This window comes from Homo sapiens, chromosome 1 (genome assembly GCF_000001405.40).
Source record: "Homo sapiens chromosome 1, GRCh38.p14 Primary Assembly".
NCBI lineage: Eukaryota > Metazoa > Chordata > Mammalia > Primates > Hominidae > Homo > Homo sapiens.
The window spans coordinates 9,117,493-9,134,122 of record NC_000001.11 but is presented as its reverse complement, the minus strand read 5'-3'; the positions used below and the strand labels follow the sequence as shown (position 1 = coordinate 9,134,122).

General features: G+C 48.1%; 1 protein-coding gene across 4 annotated transcripts in view, besides 7 other annotated features; it reads left to right on the top strand.

Annotated features, from left to right (window-relative positions):
* Positions 3,144-3,233: an enhancer, noted in NCBI's record as "active region_117". NCBI's record gives its function as "activates an Ori minimal core promoter by ATAC-STARR-seq in GM12878 lymphoblastoid cells {active_cell/tissue: GM12878}" and the evidence as "EXISTENCE:reporter gene assay evidence [ECO:0000049][PMID:35858748]".
* Positions 3,524-3,643: an enhancer, noted in NCBI's record as "active region_116". NCBI's record gives its function as "activates an Ori minimal core promoter by ATAC-STARR-seq in GM12878 lymphoblastoid cells {active_cell/tissue: GM12878}" and the evidence as "EXISTENCE:reporter gene assay evidence [ECO:0000049][PMID:35858748]".
* Positions 3,664-3,733: an enhancer, noted in NCBI's record as "active region_115". NCBI's record gives its function as "activates an Ori minimal core promoter by ATAC-STARR-seq in GM12878 lymphoblastoid cells {active_cell/tissue: GM12878}" and the evidence as "EXISTENCE:reporter gene assay evidence [ECO:0000049][PMID:35858748]".
* Positions 4,435-4,754: a silencer, noted in NCBI's record as "silent region_209". NCBI's record gives its function as "represses an Ori minimal core promoter by ATAC-STARR-seq in GM12878 lymphoblastoid cells {active_cell/tissue: GM12878}" and the evidence as "EXISTENCE:reporter gene assay evidence [ECO:0000049][PMID:35858748]".
* Positions 4,815-5,164: a silencer, noted in NCBI's record as "silent region_208". NCBI's record gives its function as "represses an Ori minimal core promoter by ATAC-STARR-seq in GM12878 lymphoblastoid cells {active_cell/tissue: GM12878}" and the evidence as "EXISTENCE:reporter gene assay evidence [ECO:0000049][PMID:35858748]".
* The window catches only part of GPR157 (G protein-coupled receptor 157), a 28,798-nt gene continuing 17,188 nt past the window's right edge, over positions 5,021-16,630 (top strand). For all 4 annotated transcript variants that reach the window (XR_007063977.1, XM_005263497.6, XM_005263496.6 and 1 more), the window contains exon 1: positions 5,021-5,478. Coding sequence is in view for 3 of the 4 variants with exons in the window: in XM_005263497.6 (XP_005263554.1) it covers positions 5,096-5,478 (383 nt within the window). In the remaining variant the exon portion in view is untranslated. The remainder of the gene's footprint in view (positions 5,479-16,630) is intronic.
* Positions 11,501-12,001: an enhancer, noted in NCBI's record as "H3K4me1 hESC enhancer chr1:9182181-9182681 (GRCh37/hg19 assembly coordinates)". NCBI's record gives its function as "activates a minimal SCP1, AML or CMV promoter by ChIP-STARR-seq in naive H9 embryonic stem cells {active_cell/tissue: H9 hESC(naive)}" and the evidence as "EXISTENCE:reporter gene assay evidence [ECO:0000049][PMID:30033119]".
* Positions 12,002-12,502: an enhancer, noted in NCBI's record as "H3K4me1 hESC enhancer chr1:9181680-9182180 (GRCh37/hg19 assembly coordinates)". NCBI's record gives its function as "activates a minimal SCP1, AML or CMV promoter by ChIP-STARR-seq in naive H9 embryonic stem cells {active_cell/tissue: H9 hESC(naive)}" and the evidence as "EXISTENCE:reporter gene assay evidence [ECO:0000049][PMID:30033119]".

Genomic DNA, 16,630 nt, shown 5'->3' with positions numbered 1-16,630 from the left:
ATTTAGACCATGGAATTGTTTATACAATGGAATACTATACAGTAGTGAAAATGAATGAATTGCATGTAGGTGTAAGAAGATGGATGAATCTCACAAAAATAATATTGAACAAAAACCAGAAAACACAAAAGGGAACGGAGAGTATGATTCCACTTACATAAAGCTCAATGACAGGCAAACTACACTGTTTTGTTCAGGGATGCAAACATGGATGGGTAAAAGCAAGAGCCTCCAGTGGTGGCTCCTGTCTGTAGTCCCAGCTACTTAGGAGGCTGAGGCCAGAGGATCCTTTGAGCCCAGGAGTTAAAGACCAGCCTTCGCAAAAAACAAAACAGAAAAACAGCAAGGAAATGACTGAGGGGGAAGGGGTGTTTGGGGAGGTTTGTGGTACGCTGGTAATGTTATATTTCTTGCTCTGGATGGCTGTTTATAATTATTTAATAAGTTGTACATTTGTATTTTAGGCACTTTTCAATATGCATATTTCGTAAAACAATTTATTTTTATTTTTATTTATTTTTTTTTTTGAGACAGAGTTTCACTCTTATTGCCCAGGCTGGAGTACAATGGTGTGATCTCGGCTCACTGCAACCTCCGCCTGCCGGGTTCAAGTGATTCTTCTGCCTCAGCCTCCAAAGTAGCTGGGATTACGCCCTAAATCCATGCCTGGCTAATTTTGTATTTTTAGTTGAGGTGGGGTTTCACCATTTTGGTCAGGCTGGTCTTGGAACTCCTGACCTCAGGTGATCTGCCTGCCTTGGCCTCCCAAAGTGCTGGGATTACAGGTGTGAGCCACCATGCCCAGCCTTTATTTTATTTTTGTATGAGATGGAGTCTCACTAAGTCGTCTAGGCTGGTCTTAAACTCCTGGCCTCTCAAGTGTTTCTCCCATCTTAGCCTCCCAAAGAGCTGGGATTACAGGCCACTGCGCCCGGCCAAAATAATTTTTTTAAAGTTAGATATACAAAGATAATCTTTGCTTTCTATGAATCAAATGCAAGATCAAACCTAATGTACACCAAAAACTACAAAACATCACTAAAAGGAAGTTAAAGAAGAGCTAAATAAATGGAAAGACATCCTTGGTCCATGGATAAGGAGATCTCATATTATTAATATAGCATTATTCTCCACTTTTATCTACAGAATCAAAGCAATCTCTATCAATCTTTTCCATTCCTCTTGCAGAAATAGAAAAACGGATCCTCAAATTGATAGGGAATCGCAAGGGGCGTCAGATAGCCAAAATATTGGAAAAGAAAAACAATGTTGAAGGGTAGGGTGCGGTGGTTCATGCCTGTAATCCCAGCACTTTGGGAGGTCGAGGCGGGCAGACCACTTGAGATCAGGAGTTCGAAAACAGCCTGGGCAACATAGTGAAACCCTGCCTCCACTAAAAATACAAAAATTAGCCAGGCATGGTAGCGGGCGCCTGTAGTCCCAGCTACTCGGAAGGCTGAGGCAGGAGAATCGCTCGAACCTGGGAAGCAAAGGTTGCAGTGGGCCAAGATCAAACCACTGCACTCCAGTCTGGGCAAGATAGTAAGACTCTCCCCAAAAAAGAAAAAACAATTTTGAAGGACTCCCTTCCCAATTTCAAAACTCACTACAAAGCTACAGTAACCATAACAGTGAGGTATTGGAAAGAAACAAAACATAGATGCAAACCTTCATGAGTTTGGCATAGGTGATGGTTTCTTAGATGTGACACCAAAAGCACAAACAACCAAAGAAAAAAATGGACAAATTGGACATACTCAAAAAACACTTTTTTCCTTTGAAACATGCTATCAAGAAAGTGAAAAGACAAACCACAAAATGGGAGAAAATATTTGCAAATCATATAGCTGATAAGGGTGTAATAGCTAGAATATATAAAGAACTCTTGCAACTCAACAACAAAAAGACAAACCAATTTAAAAATAAGAAAGAAAATTGACCAGGTGTGGTGACTGACGCCTGTAATCCTAGCACTTTGAGAGGCCGAGGCGGGTGGATCACTCTAAGTCAGGAGTTTGTGACCAGCCTGATCAACATGGTGAAACCCCATCTCTACTAAAAAGACAAAAATTAGCTGGGCGTGGTGGCTGGCGCCTATAATCCCAGCTACTTGGGAGGCTGAGACAGGAGAATCGCTTGAACCCAAGAGGCAGAAGTCACAGTGAGCCAAGATCGCGCCATTGCATTCCAGCCAGGGTGACAGTGCGAGACTCAGTCTCAAAAAAAAAAAAAAAAAAAAAAAAGGAACAGAAGAAAGAAAGAGAGACAGAGAGAGAAAGAGAGAGAGAGAAAGAAAGAAAGAAAGTTGAACAGACATTTCTCCAAAGAGGATATGCAAATGTCCAATACACACATGGAAAGATGTTTGAGGGCATTATTCATCAGGGAAACGCAAATCAAAACCACAATGAGGAACAACTTCACACCCACTAGGATGGCTATTATCACAAAGATAATACAAAATGTAGGAAGGCTGGGTGAGGTGGCCTCACGCCTGTAATCCCAGCACTTTGGGAGGCCAAGGCAGGAGTTTGAGACCAGCCTGGGCAATACAGTGAGACCCCATCTCCAAAAAAAAAATTAGTGGGGCCCAGGCAAGGTGGCTCACACCTGTAATCCCAGCACTTTGGGAGGTTGAGGCGGGCAGATCACCTGAGGTCAGGAGTTCAAGACCAGCCTGGCCAATACAGTGAAACCCTGTCTCTACTAAAAATACAAAAATTAGCAGGTTGTGGTGGTGCACACCTGTAATCCCAGCTACTCAGGAGGCTGAGACAGGAAAATCGCTTGAACCCGGGAGGCAGAGGTTGCAGTGAGCCAAGATCACGCCACTGCACTCCAACCTGGGCAACAAGAGCGAGACTCAGTCTCAAAAAAAAAAAAAAAAAAAAATTAGTGGGGCATGGTGACATGCACCTGAAGTCCTAACTACTGGGGAGGCCAAGGTGGGAGAATTCTTAAGCCTAGGAATTTGAGACTGCAGTGAGCTGTGGTTGTACCTGCACTCCAGCCTCGGCGACAAGACCTTGTCTCAAAAAAAAGTTTTGGAAGAATGTAGAGAAATTGCGACCTTCATTGCTAGTGCAAATGTAAAATGATATGTACAGTCACTTTGGAAAACACCTTGGCAGTTCCTCACAAGGTGAAATATAAAGTTGCGTATGGCCCAGCAACTCCATTCCTAGGTATACACATAGGAGAATTGAAAACATACACCCACAAAAAAACTTGTATGCAAATTTTCATAGTGGTATTATTCTTAATAGTTAAAAAGTGTTAACAACCCAAATGTCCATCGGCTGATGAATAATAGCTAAGTAAAATGTGGTATATCCTGCCGAGCGCGGTAGCTCATGCCTGTAATCCTAGCACTTTGGGAGGCCAAGGCAGGCAGATTGCCTGAGCTCAGGAGTTCAAGACCAGCCTGGGCAACACGGTGAAACCCCACCTCTACTAAAATAGAAAAGAAATTAGCCGGGCGTGGCGGCGTGTGCCTGTAGTCCCAGCTACTCGGGAGGCTGAGGCAGGAGAACTGCTTGAAGCCGGGAGGCAGAGGTTGCAGTGAGCCGAGATCATGCCACGGCTCTCCAGCCTGGGCGACAGAGGGAGACTCCGTCTCTAGAAAAAAAAAAAAAAGGTGGTATATCCATATAATGGAATATTACGGGGCAGTAAAAGGAATGAAGCACTGCATATGCTACGATGAACCTTGGAAACGTGCTAAGTTAAAAAAGTCAGACATAAAGGCCACAGAGCATATGAGTCTATTTACAGGAAATGTGCAGAATAAGCAAATCCACGGTAGAAGAGTGGTTGCCAGGGCTGTCGGGGAGAACTGAGGGCTAACAGCTGAGGGATAAGGATTTCTTTTTGGGAGTAATGACAATGTTGTAGAATTACATAATAATGATGGTTGCACAAACTTGTGAACATACTACTGAATTGTTCGGTTAAGAGGGCCAATTTTATGGTATGTGAATTACATCTTAATTACAAAGTTTGAAATTTTTAAAGAAAAAGCCATGCCCTGCCTAGCATTTCATTTTTTAAAAATCACACCTAGTTAGCTATGGTTTTTAAAAAATAGCATGCTTATTTTAAGAAAAGGTGGAAACGCCGGCTTCCCCAAGTCACCACCAACTTGTGAACACGTCGGGATCACGGCTGAAGGAATGAGGATCATACCCGAGAGCTGTTTCTGTTGCTAGTGGAAAGAATGCCTCTGATCCTCACGCCCTTCCACTCACAACACACACAGAAGCTGGCTGAAAAGAGGGAAAGTAATATTAGCCCTAAAAATGCCAGCCCTTCCTCTCACAGGACTGGATGTCCCAGACACCTGGCAAGAGCAGGGGTGGGCCTGGAGGAGCGTGGAGGGACAGGTGCTGGGACCTGGGGGTGCCCTGAGGTAGGGCTTAGGGACCTAGGGGCTTAGGGGCGTGGTGTGAGGGCGTGGGCGGGGCTCAGGAGCCTCGGGCACCGGGTGGAGCTTGGAAGCCTCAGGGGCGTGGCGGGGGCGGGGCTCAGGGCCCGGGGCAACGGGACGAGGAAGGGCACCTGAGCCAGGGTCAGGGCCCGGAACACAGGGGTGTGGCGGGGTGCGTGGGCGGAGCGGGGCGCGTGGGTTAGGCTCTAGGCCCAGGTCTCTGGGCCCTGTGGACAGGGGATCGGGGCGCGTGGGCGGAGCTCTAAGTCCCAGTCTCAACGCGGGGGCACACGGGCGGGGGGGGGGCGTGTGGGCGGGAAGGGCATGTGGGCCGGGGGACGTGTGTCCGGGGCTCGGATTGTGGGCGGGGCTCAGGGCCTGGGACGGCGGGACGGGGCTGGGAGTGTAGGCGGGGCTTAAAGGCCGGGGTACCGGGGTGGGGCGCGGCGCGTGGGCGGGGCTCAGGGCCCGGGATATAGGGGCGGGGCGCAGGGCGTGGACGGGGTTCAGGGCCCGGGGCCCAGATGGGCGGGGGAGCGGCCGGACGCGGGCGGGGCGGGCGCCTGGACGCGAGCCTAGGGCGCCTCGGTGCCCAGACGGCGGCGGCGTGGCCGCACGCGCGGCCCGGCTTCTGTCCTCGCGGCGCTCCGGCTCCTGGCCCCCCACGCCATGCAGCCGTCCCCGCCGCCCACCGAGCTGGTGCCGTCGGAGCGCGCCGTGGTGCTGCTGTCGTGCGCACTCTCCGCGCTCGGCTCGGGCCTGCTGGTGGCCACGCACGCCCTGTGGCCCGACCTGCGCAGCCGGGCACGGCGCCTGCTGCTCTTCCTGTCGCTGGCCGACCTGCTCTCGGCCGCCTCCTACTTCTACGGAGTGCTGCAGAACTTCGCGGGCCCGTCGTGGGACTGCGTGCTGCAGGGCGCGCTGTCCACCTTCGCCAACACCAGCTCCTTCTTCTGGACCGTGGCCATTGCGCTCTACTTGTACCTCAGCATCGTCCGCGCCGCGCGCGGGCCTCGCACAGATCGCCTGCTTTGGGCCTTCCATGTCGTCAGGTGGGTGGCGGTGGCGCTGCTTTTCCAGGAGCCCCCGACACAGGCCGACCCCTCCCGGTCTTGCCCTCCCAGAGGCCGCGTCTAGGTTGGACACCCCCTACCCACAGCAAGCAGTGCCTGCTGGCGCCCCCGAGGCTGTCCTGGGCCAGCGGGAGGAGGCCAGCCTTGCCCGAGATTCGCTCCCTCCCGAAGGAGCCCCGCTGTGCCTGCCCCAGGGCACAGCCCCTTGGGGTAGTGGGGACAGAGTTCGCCCCCAGAGCCGGGCCCTGTTTCCTTGGACGGGGCTGGGGAGGACACTCTGAGCCCCTTGTGACCTGCTTCACTGTGTCCTGGCTGTCTCTGCTGCCCATGGGGAAACAGGCTGGGAGACGAGTTAGGTAACTGTCCCGGGCTGGAGAGCCGGCAACTGCCAGTCCCACGCCACCACCCCACCCCAAGCCACAGTGAGCTTGGTGCACTCCGCCACTCCCGAGCTGCCGTGTCTCTGCTGTACAGTTTACAAAGGACTGTGCTTTTTATTCTGTCTTTGGTCGTTTCTAGCCTCAGGCCCCAGCCCCTTGTATTTCTGTTCTAGATGATCTTGACTTTCCAGAGTTCAGCAATTCTGAGATTGAGGGCAGGGGCGGAGGGCTGGTCTGGGAGTCTCGGAGTCCTCCTGGAGTCTCTCTGAGAGTGGGGAAAAGCCAAGACCTTACTTTGCGATTCAAGCGTCTTTCAAGTAAGCCTCGCTGAAGAGGGTCGGCCCTTCCCTGGGGAATGTCAGGTTTTGAAAATCTCATGGCGTCCTGTGCTGTGCTGAACTGAGGGCAGGAATCCTAGGGGCTGTTTTCCTTTTCTCCTTCTCCCAGATCAGAGCATCAGATACTGCCCTAATTATAGGTCCTTTCTATTAAAAACTTAAGTGCATTCCAAGGACTGCGAGCACAGTCAGCACTTTGGCAGAGACAGGTCACCTGGGTGTCACACGGCAAGGCTACAGGGCTGTAAGAGTCGCTTGACCTTCAGTTGTGCACTGAGGCCGGCTGGTCCTTGAGAAACTAAGTGACCTGCTTCTCAGCTGTACAAGTAAAAAATCTTTGCAACACATCATCCAAACCGAGGCTCAGATGCTGCAGATGGAATAGGGCCCTGCCTTGCCTTGCCTTCCCGGCAGCATCCCATCTGACCCTGTCTGGGTCCCGTGATGGCTGGCTGGGTGTGGGCCCCGAGTACACGGGAGATCGTGTGTACTTGGAAGGAGTCGAGGCTGTACCTCTCTTTGCAAGAACCTGTTCTCTTTCCCTTCTTGTCTTTAAAAATATTGAATACAGTATTTTTTTAATGGTAACAGAACCTGGTCCAGCTTCTGTGGAAAAGAAGGATTGCCCAGCAAACCTGAGTTGGGGGTTTTTCTGTTCGGTTCTCATTACGGACCCTCTAGGGGGGTTTCTGTGTTGTTCAGGAAGGGCTTCTTTGATAAAGAAGTAGGCCCAGTGTGGTGGCTTGTACCCGTAATCCCAGCACTTTGGGAGGCCGAGGCAGGAGCATCGCTTGAGCCCAGGAGTTCAACTGGCCAACACAGTGAGGCTTTGTCTCTACTAAAAATTTAAAAATTAGCTGGGCATGGTGGCGCATGCCTGTAGTTCCAGCTACTTGTGAGGCTGAGGTGGGAGGATCGCTTGAGCCTGGGAGGTCGAGGCTGTAGTGAGCTATGATTGCAGACAGAGCAACACCCTCTCTCAAAAAAAAAAGAAAAAAATTTTTAAAAAATGAAGGAAAAAGAAAAGAAAAAACAAGCAACGTATTCATCTTGTCTGTTGAATGTGACCTGCCTGCATCTTAAAAGAAAATAAAATTATCTGTATCCAAGCTAGAGAGGGAGTTTGACAATTTATTCTCTGGAGTTCTCAGCACTCAGACTTCGCTAGTCTAAGGGAATTGGTTAAACCTGCCTAACAGGTTCATCTGTTAACCTAGATCTTCCCAGACTGTATTGCCAATGACCTTACTAAGGACTCTCCAGTGTATTTCTTTGGAATATTAGTTTATTGTTTGCAGGATCTATTGATGTGAGAAATATCACCTTCAGGCATAGACTACATGATTATCCACTTTTTAACCATTTCATACTACTGGAATTCAGTCCTCTTCAAAGCTTTCAGTTTTAGAAAGTATTTTAAAATACGACAACACAGAAGGTTGACATCCTTATTCTAATGTGCGTTTAGGAATTGAATTGTTTTAAACCCACAAATATCCTGAAAAATGGACAAAGGACATACTCAAGCAAAATAGTAACAGCAGTTGAAAAAATATGTCATATACCATTAATATGCAAAGCAATACAAGTTATAACAGTAAGGTACCATTTCCTCATTTAATTTGAAGGAAAAAAATAGTAAGGCAGAGTTGGGCACGGTGGCTCATGCCTGTAAATCCCAGCACTTTGGGAGGCCAAGGTGGGCGGATCACTTGAGGTCAGGAGTTTGAGACCAGCCTGGCCAACATGGCAAAACCGCGTCTCTACTAAAATTACAAAAATTAGCTGGGTGTGGTGGTGCGTGTCCCAACTACTCAGGAAGCTGAGGCAGGAGACTCGCTTGAACCTGGGAAGTGGAGGTTGCAGTGAGCCACGATCGCGCCACTGCACTCCAGCCTGGGTGATAGAGCAAGTCTCCATATCAAAAAAAAAAAAAAAGGCAGAATACAAACATGATAAATGCGAGTTTCACTGGCATTTTTCTACAGTATTATTGATGGTGTGAATTGAAATAGTCTTTGTAGAAAGTATTTGGTTCATACCCCTTGATCCAATAATCCTATTTACCAAAGCCTAGTCTAATGAGATAATCTAAAATATGTACAAAGCTGTATGTACGAAGGTGTTTGTGAGGCACTTATGGTGAGAATTTGGAAGTGACCTCAAGGTCCAACAGTGGGGGAACAGGAAGTTAAGAGTCTACCCTCCCCTTCTGAAATGGTATGCAGCTCTTTGATACTGGTTTTGAATTCTGTAAGTCATTTTTTTAAATGATATGATTCAATGCGAAGTGACAGAAACCATCGCTAACACTGATTACAGCCACATAAAGGCAGGAGGTTAGAGAGAATCCTGCACGTGCACAAGTTCCCAGGAGAGCACCTGCGTGGCCCCCTTTACAGAGAGAGGAGGGCAGTTTAGACCTCATCCTCAGGAAATCACATTTCAGCATGAGCTGTGTCTGGCCCCTGATGTTTGCAGAGTGCTGTTCCATTCATTAGCTCACTAATCACCAATAACCCAACAGGGCCAGGAGTGGTAGCTCACACCTGTAATCCCAGCACTTTGGGAGGCTGAGGCAGGAGGATCACTTCAGCCCAGGAGGTTGAGGCTGCAGTGAGCCGAGACCACCACTGCATTCCAGCCGGAGTGACAGAGTGAGACCTGTCTCAAAAAAAAAGAAAAAGAAAAAAAAAGTAACCCAACAGAATGGATGGGTGGGGTGATTACCCTCATAGCAGATGTGATGGCCCAGGGCTACATAGCTAGTAAGGTATTGTGGGATCTGGCCAGCAGCCGGCAATGCAATGGGGCTCTCTCTTTGTTCCCAGGCAGATCGGCAGGTCAAGAAATAATAGACACACACAAGATAGTGAAAGCTGGGTCCAACAGGGGGGTCGCCCGCGGTGCCAACAATGCACTGGATATACCAGCATTTATTATTAAGTTTAGTGAGGGCGGGGGTAGGTTAGTGAGGGATTTAGGGTCATTTGATTATGAGGTGAGACGGTCACATGGTGATGAAGTAATTCTTTAACATAACATCTGTATGCAGAAGTACAGTATACAGGGATAAGAATTTACAATATAGTGTGTGCATCAGTAATTTCTAACAGAGCCTTAAAACAGAAATACAGTCTTTCCATAACCTATGATTAGCAAGATATTAATCAGCAGTAACAGTTGCAGCAAAAGCTGGTTACAAACAATCCATAGCAACGGGAGGTGAAGCTAGACAACCAGTTAGACCAGAAATTCTCAGAAGGGAGTATGCCATAACCCTAAAGAGGCCTAGAAGAGCCGTGGGGTGTTTATAGGTGAGGGCGTTTATAGCCCTATGTTGTCCATATGGACAGGCACACCCCATGAGTCCGTTTATAGGCTCTCCACAAGGGTCGCATTCCATTCCCAGAGCTATGAACATCTGCTTTTCTGGGATAGGAATCTTGGTGATGTGAAACCTCCCTGACTGCACGTCCATTCATAGGCTCTCTGCAGGGGGAAGCACATCACGCGCTGTTGGCTCATTCTGGCAGTCCAACCTGGCATTGTCTTTACACAATCCTGCATGCAATTTTGTATTTACAATAATCAGGAGCATTTCATCTTTTATGCCATACCAATAGTTTCAGGGAGTCTCCCTTCAGTAAAGGAGAGGCTCAGAGTTAGAATCTACTTCTGACCCAGTCCAAGACTCCTTTTAGGAGTCTATGTTGTCTTTTGGCTGTAACAGGTTTTAAAAACTGAGATACAATTTCAACAATAATTTATTTTTAGGTTGGGCACAGTGGCTCACGCCAGTAGTCCCAGCAGTTTGGGAGGCTGAGGTGGATGGATTACTTGAGCCCAGGAGTTTGAGACCAGCCTGGGCAACATGGCAAAATCCTGTCTCTACAAAAAATTTAAAAAATTAGCCGAGTGTGGTGGTGTGCGGCTGCAGTCCCAGCTCCTCAGGAGGCTGAGATGAGAGGATCACTTAAGCCCAGGAGGCAGAGGTTGCAGTGAGCTGAGATTGTGCCATTGTACTCCAGCCTGGGTGACAGAGCAAGACCCTATCTCAAAACAATTAAAATTAAATATTTGTATATATATTTAATATTATATATATATAATATTAAATATATATTTAATATTAAATATATATAATATTAAATATATAATATTAAATATATATTTAAAATTATATATAAATACATATTTAAAATTAAATATATATTAAATATATATTTAATATTAAATATATATTTAATATATATTTAATATTAATGTATATTTAAAATATATTTAATTTTAAATATATATTAAATATACATTAATATTAAATATATATTTAAAATATATTTAAATATATATTTAAATTAGATATATTTAAATATATATTTAAATTAAATATATATTTTGAATATATAATTTATATATTTTTAAAATATATATTTAAATTAAATATATATTTTAATATGTATTTAAATTAAATATATATATTTTAATATGTATTTAAATTAAATATATATTTAAATTAAATATATATATTTAATTTAAATATATATTTAAATTAAATATATATATTTAAATTAAATATATATATTTTAATATATATTTAAATTAAATATATATTAATTTAAATATATATTTAAATATATATATTTAAATATATATTTAAATTAATATATATTTAAATATATATTTTAATAAATATATATATAAATTTTATTTATATATATATATATATATTTTTTTTTTTTCCCACCCAAGACAGTTTCACTCTTGTTGCCCAGGCTGGGGTACAATGGTGCGATCTCTCGGCTCACTGCAACCTCCACCTCCCGTGTTCAAGTGACTCTCCTGCCTCAGCCTTCCAAGTAGCTGGGATGACAGGCATGCGCCACCATGCCTGGCTAATTTGGTATTTTTAGTAGAGATGGGGTTTCACCGTGTTGCTCAGGCTGATCTCAAACTCCTGACCTCAAGTGATCCACCCACCTCAGCCTCCCAAAGTGCTGGGATTACAGGTGTGAGCCACCGCAGCTGGCCTTTATTGAGATTTTTGTCCGTGGACTAACAGTGTCCCTGATAGCAAAGGAAAATCTTGGCTTGTATGTTGACTTAATTTTCATATATCTTTATTCTCCTTCCATCTGAAACAGTTCTCCCACCTTTCTTGGTGTTTTATGATACTGACATTTTTGAAGAGTACAGTCCCGGTATTTTATAGAAAGCCTCTCAATTTGGGTTTGTCTGGTGCTTCCTCATAAGTGGGTTCAGGTTGTGCATGTTTGGCAGGATATCCCAGAAACATGTTTTTCTCATTGCTTTCTACCTGGTGGCCAGCAACTTGGACATATTCCCTTACTGGTGATGTTAACTCTCATCACTGGGCTAAGGTGATATCTGCCAAGTTCCTGCACTGCAAGTTAACTCTTTTCCCTTTTGTAGTTAAGAAGTGTCTTGCTGAGAGACAACGGTGGCTCGAAAGCCTATCACGTCTCCAGCTTTCACCCAAGCGTTTCGTGTCCACTGATTCTGACAGCATTTTGAATTTTTTGGTGGCAGTTGCTTTTTTAAGGTTGTGTGAGATACTCAATGTTCAGGGGAAGTCCCTGTGTTTAAGAAGTCCCTTTCTACTCTGTCTTAGCTGGTGAGGCGGCTCCCACAGACGTCCTTGTCTTTGACTTTCATGTGGTGTGCCTGAGTGGCTGTGTGTTTACCACGCCCACCTGAGGGAGGCCAGAGCTGCTGTGGAGGGGGTCATTTCCCCACCTCCCACATAAGGGGACCTGCCTTTCCAAGAGTGGCGCAGCCCTTCCTCCCCTCACGGTGGTGGGCGCCAGCGTGATGCCAGACCAGGGTCAGCAGGGGTGAGGTGACCACCCCCTCCACCAGGACCTCCATGGGGCCAGGCATCAGCTGTATGGCCTGTGAGCATAGGGGGGCTGCTAAAGGGTCGGGACAGCTCATTTGGGGGTCAGAAGGAAGCGTCCTGGCCGAGCCGGTTCATCTCGGGAATCTCTGAGTTTCTTCTGGCCCCGCTGAGCTGGGGGCAGGTGTGGGTATGACTCCAGCAGGGTCTAGCCCCCGTGCCTCTCACACACACGTTCATCCACCCTCTAGGGTTACAGAGGAAGCAAGAGTCTGTGACCCCCCATGTTTGCCATAAAAACCCTGCTCTGGGGGCAGTGGGAAGTCCCAACGTAGCAAAAAGGGGAAACCTGGGCCTGGAGCTGGAAGGTTGTCAGAGTTCTCTAATTTGTTTTTTGTTTGTTTGTTTTGAGATGGAGTCTAGCTCTGTCACCCAGGCTGGAGTGAAGTGGCGCAATCTCGGCTCACTGCAGCTTCCACTTCCTGGGTTCAAGCCATTCTCCTGCCTCAGCCTCCCATGTAGCTGGGAATACAGGCGTACACCACCACGTCTGGCTAATTTTTTTGTATTTTTAGTAGAGACGGTGTTTTACCCTGTTGGCCAGGCTGGTCTCAAACTCCTGACCTCAAATGATCCACCTGCCTCGGCCTCCCTAAGTTCTGGGATTACAGGTATGAGCCACCACACCTGGCCTGTTTTGTTTTGTTTTGTTTTTTTGAGACAGAGTCTGGCTCTGTCACCCAGGCTGGAGTGCAGTGGTGTGATCTCTACTCAGTACAGCCTCTATCTCCCAGGTTCAAGCGATTCTCCTGCCTCAGCCTCCCAAGTAGCTGGGATCACAGGCGTGCGCCACCACTCCCGGCTAATTTTGTATTTTTAGTAAAGACGGGATTTTACCATGTTGGCCAGGCTGGTCTCGAACTCCTGACCTCATGTGATCCAGCCACCTCGCCCTCCCAAAGTGCTGGGATTACAGGCGTGAGCCACCGCACCTGGCCTGAGTTCTCTAATTTGAAACGAGCTCACCGTGGCACTGCAAGGACAAGCCAGTGGCAGAGCTGGCCCGTCTCCCCAGGCAGTGGCATCTGAATGAGGGATGGATGCAGTGGCCACATGAATAGTACCCCATGTCGGCCACTACTCCTGAAAATATCAATCATTGAACTGGTTTCGTTTATTTCCCCATAAAAGTTTTCTGAGGTGACTGGTGAAGGTGGCAGCGCTGTGTCCCTGTGTGCAGCAGGAAGCTCATGGCAGAGCGCTGAGCACCAGCAACTTGGCAGGAGGTGTGAGAACTCAGGCTGCCCATCCCTGAGCTGAGGGCTACAGACGGTGGCACTAGGGCATGAGTGTGCATCTGCGAGTTCCTTTAGACATTCCTCTCCCCTTCTGCAGTTAAAGCTGCAGAGTGACCTCGTGGTAGCCTGGCCTAGGGGCTGACTCCCTGAACTTCTCCCAAGTCCTGACCCTTCTGCCGCTGGAGCTGGACAATAAGTGTCCATTGTTCCCAGGGAAGAAACCTCCAGGCAGCCTCTCACCAGGCCTCACTCCCTACAGCTGGGCTTCCCCCAGCCCTGCTCTGTCCTGAGGTTTTTAAATTGGCATATTGTTGCACAAGAGTTTGGTTCTCAAAGCGTTTTCTGAGTTATGTTAACATCCCCAGGTCTCATGGTACCTACACCAGGCATTGTGTTTGGCCCAGAGAAGGGACCTGCTTGTTTTCCTCCTGGCAGGTGCCAGCCCCCAGAGATCTGTAGGAAGGATGAAGTTTGGGGTGGGGAAAAGGTACAGGAATCCCAGGGTGGGGGCAGGTGATTGAGCAGACTCTGCCTTGAGCCCCCTTCAGTCTAACCTCTGACCCCTTCCTGGCAGCAGGGATGGCATCCTAAGGGTCTTTGAAAACCAGTGGGCTGCTTTTCAATATAACTGTCCATTTGTGTGTGAAGTGGAGGTGTGTCTCCCTGTCTGCAGGTGCCCCCACCCTGACTCTGGTGGGGACAGGTTCCAGGAACCACACAACAGAAGATCCCCGGTTGGGCAGCGCTGGGAACTCCCAAGGACCCGCTCTGAAGGGCAGGGAAACCGAGAGCATTGCTGTCCTGGGGACAAGTGGCCTGCCTGTGGTCATCTGACCGACACCACGACACCACGCAGGGGAATTCAGGTCTCGCAGATGGTTTATTCACTGCTTGGCTAATCCCCGGCAGTACTTCCACTTCCTTTCTCTGGAGGACACTTAAAAGGTGTTGAGTTCCAAAAAGGGCTAAGCTCCTGACAAGTATGAATGGCTTTTTGTCATTTTCTCCTCCATGAGCTGGTGGAGGGTCCCGGCCCAGCTTTGCCAATCTGGGCATTGTGGGGGTAGGGAGTTTCCAAGTCATCCCTGACCTCTGAGATTGGGGGCCCTAGGAGCTGGGATAGTACCGCCTGCCAGGACACATGTCTCTCCCGCCTAGTCTGTAGAAAGCCTCAGGCTGCCCTAACAAAGTACCACAGCCTGGGGGCTTAGACAACAGAAATTTATTTTCTCACAGTTTTGGAGGCTGAAGTGCAAGGTCCAGGTGAGGGCAGGACTGGTTCTTCCTGAGGCCTCTCTCCTTGACATGTATATGGCCATCTTCTCCCTGCGTCTTCACTTGATCTTCCCTTTGTAAAGATCTGTGTGCTCATCACTTCTTGTTTTTGTTGTTGTTTGTTTTTTTGAAGACAGAGTCTTGGCCGGTCATTGTGGTTCACGTCTGTAATCCCAGCACTTTGGGAGGCCGAGGTGGGCGGATCACCTGAGGTCAGGAGTTCAAGACCAGTCTGGCCAACATGGTGAAACCCCGTCTCTACTAAAAATACAAAAATTAGCTGGGTGTAATGGTGGATGCCTGTGATCCCAGCTATTTGGGAGGCTGAGGCAGAAGAATCGCTTGAACCTGGGAGGCGGAGGTTTGCCATGAGCCAAGATCACGCCAGTGCACTCCAGCCTGGGAGACACAGTGAGATTCCATCTCAAAAAAAAAAAAAAAAAAAGGCAGGGTCTCACTCTCACCCAGGCTAGAGTGCAGTGGCACAGTCACGGCTCACTGCAGCCTCAACCTCCTGGGTTCAAGCGGTTCTCCCGCCTCAGCCTCCTGGGTAGCTGGGACTTCAGGTGTGTGCCACCACGCCTGGCTAATTTATGTATTTTTTTGTAGAGACAGGGTCTCACTTTGTTGCCCAGGCTGGTCTCAAACTCTCCTGGGTTCAAGTGATCCTTTGGCCTCCCAGAGTGCTGGGATTACAGGTGTGAGCCACCATGCCCAGCCTTTCCTCTTAAGTTATGACCACAGAGGTTGTTAGGTTAGGTTCCACTCTGATGACTGCATTTTAACTTAATCACCTCTTGAAAGACCCTATCTCTCAAATACACTCACATTCTGAGGTTCTGGGGATTAGGACTTCAACAGATGAAATTTGTAGGGGACACAATTGAACCCTTAACGGCCTCTGAGTGGGAAGGAAGCCGACTTGGAGTCTGGCTTTCATTTCTAGGCAAATACAAGTTGGAACTGGGGCCCAGGTACCTCTGGGAGAAGCTTGTGGTGCCCCTGCCAATCAGAGTTACACACGAGGTGGCTGTCCCGGGCTTCCTCCGTCCAGGCAGGCTCAGCTTGGCCTCCTCCCAGCCTCAGAGTCACAGGTTTAGACAGGAGGGGCCTTATGGGTCACCTGCTCTAACCCACATCCCCACCTTGCACCCCCACCCAGCACCTGTCATGGCACCCCCTGAACATGAGCACTCACCTTCTCTCAGTGGAAGCTGCCTATTCAGCCCCCAGATTTAGGACTGGGCAGGACCCCGCCCATTCCTCCGGCATCTAACCACTTCTCCACCACCAGGTCCTCTTCAAGACTTTTTAACCATTTGAGGATAGCTCAAGGCCCAGCGTCTCTTTACATGCTCCTCAGGTGACCTGGCACTGGCGCCAGCTTGTCAGTCTCAGGTTTAGAATGTGAGCTGCAGATGTCCACTCACAGGCAGACAGCACCAGCCATTGGCTGTTCTGAGCCACCCACATCTGAGCAGCAGGATGACCCCTCCAACCACATGAATTTCTAGGTTGTAATCAACCAAATCCCTTGGTCTTTTTCATATGTGCAGTTATTAAGCCCTGTGTTACTTGTTCTGGCTTTATTTTTTTGGGGTGGTGGCTTCCCGTATGAAGGGGGGAAAAACTGTTAGGTGTTACATGTCAGAACTGTGGGGGTTTTTTTTGTTTTTTTGTGTTTTTTGTTTGTTTGTTTGTTTTGCTTTTTTTTGAGACGGAGTCCCACTCTGTCGCCCAGGCTGGAGTACAGTGGCGCGATCTCAGTTTACTGCAACCTCCACCTCCCGGGTTCAAGTGATTCTCCTGCCTCAGCCTCCCCAGTAGCTGGGATTACAGGTGCCCACCACCACGTCCGGCTAATTTTTTTGTATTTTTAGTAGAGATGGGGTTTCGCCATGTTGGCGAGGCTGGTCTCAAACTTCTGACTTCAGGTGATCTGCCCACCTCGGCCTCCCAAAGTGCTGGGATTACAGGCGTGAG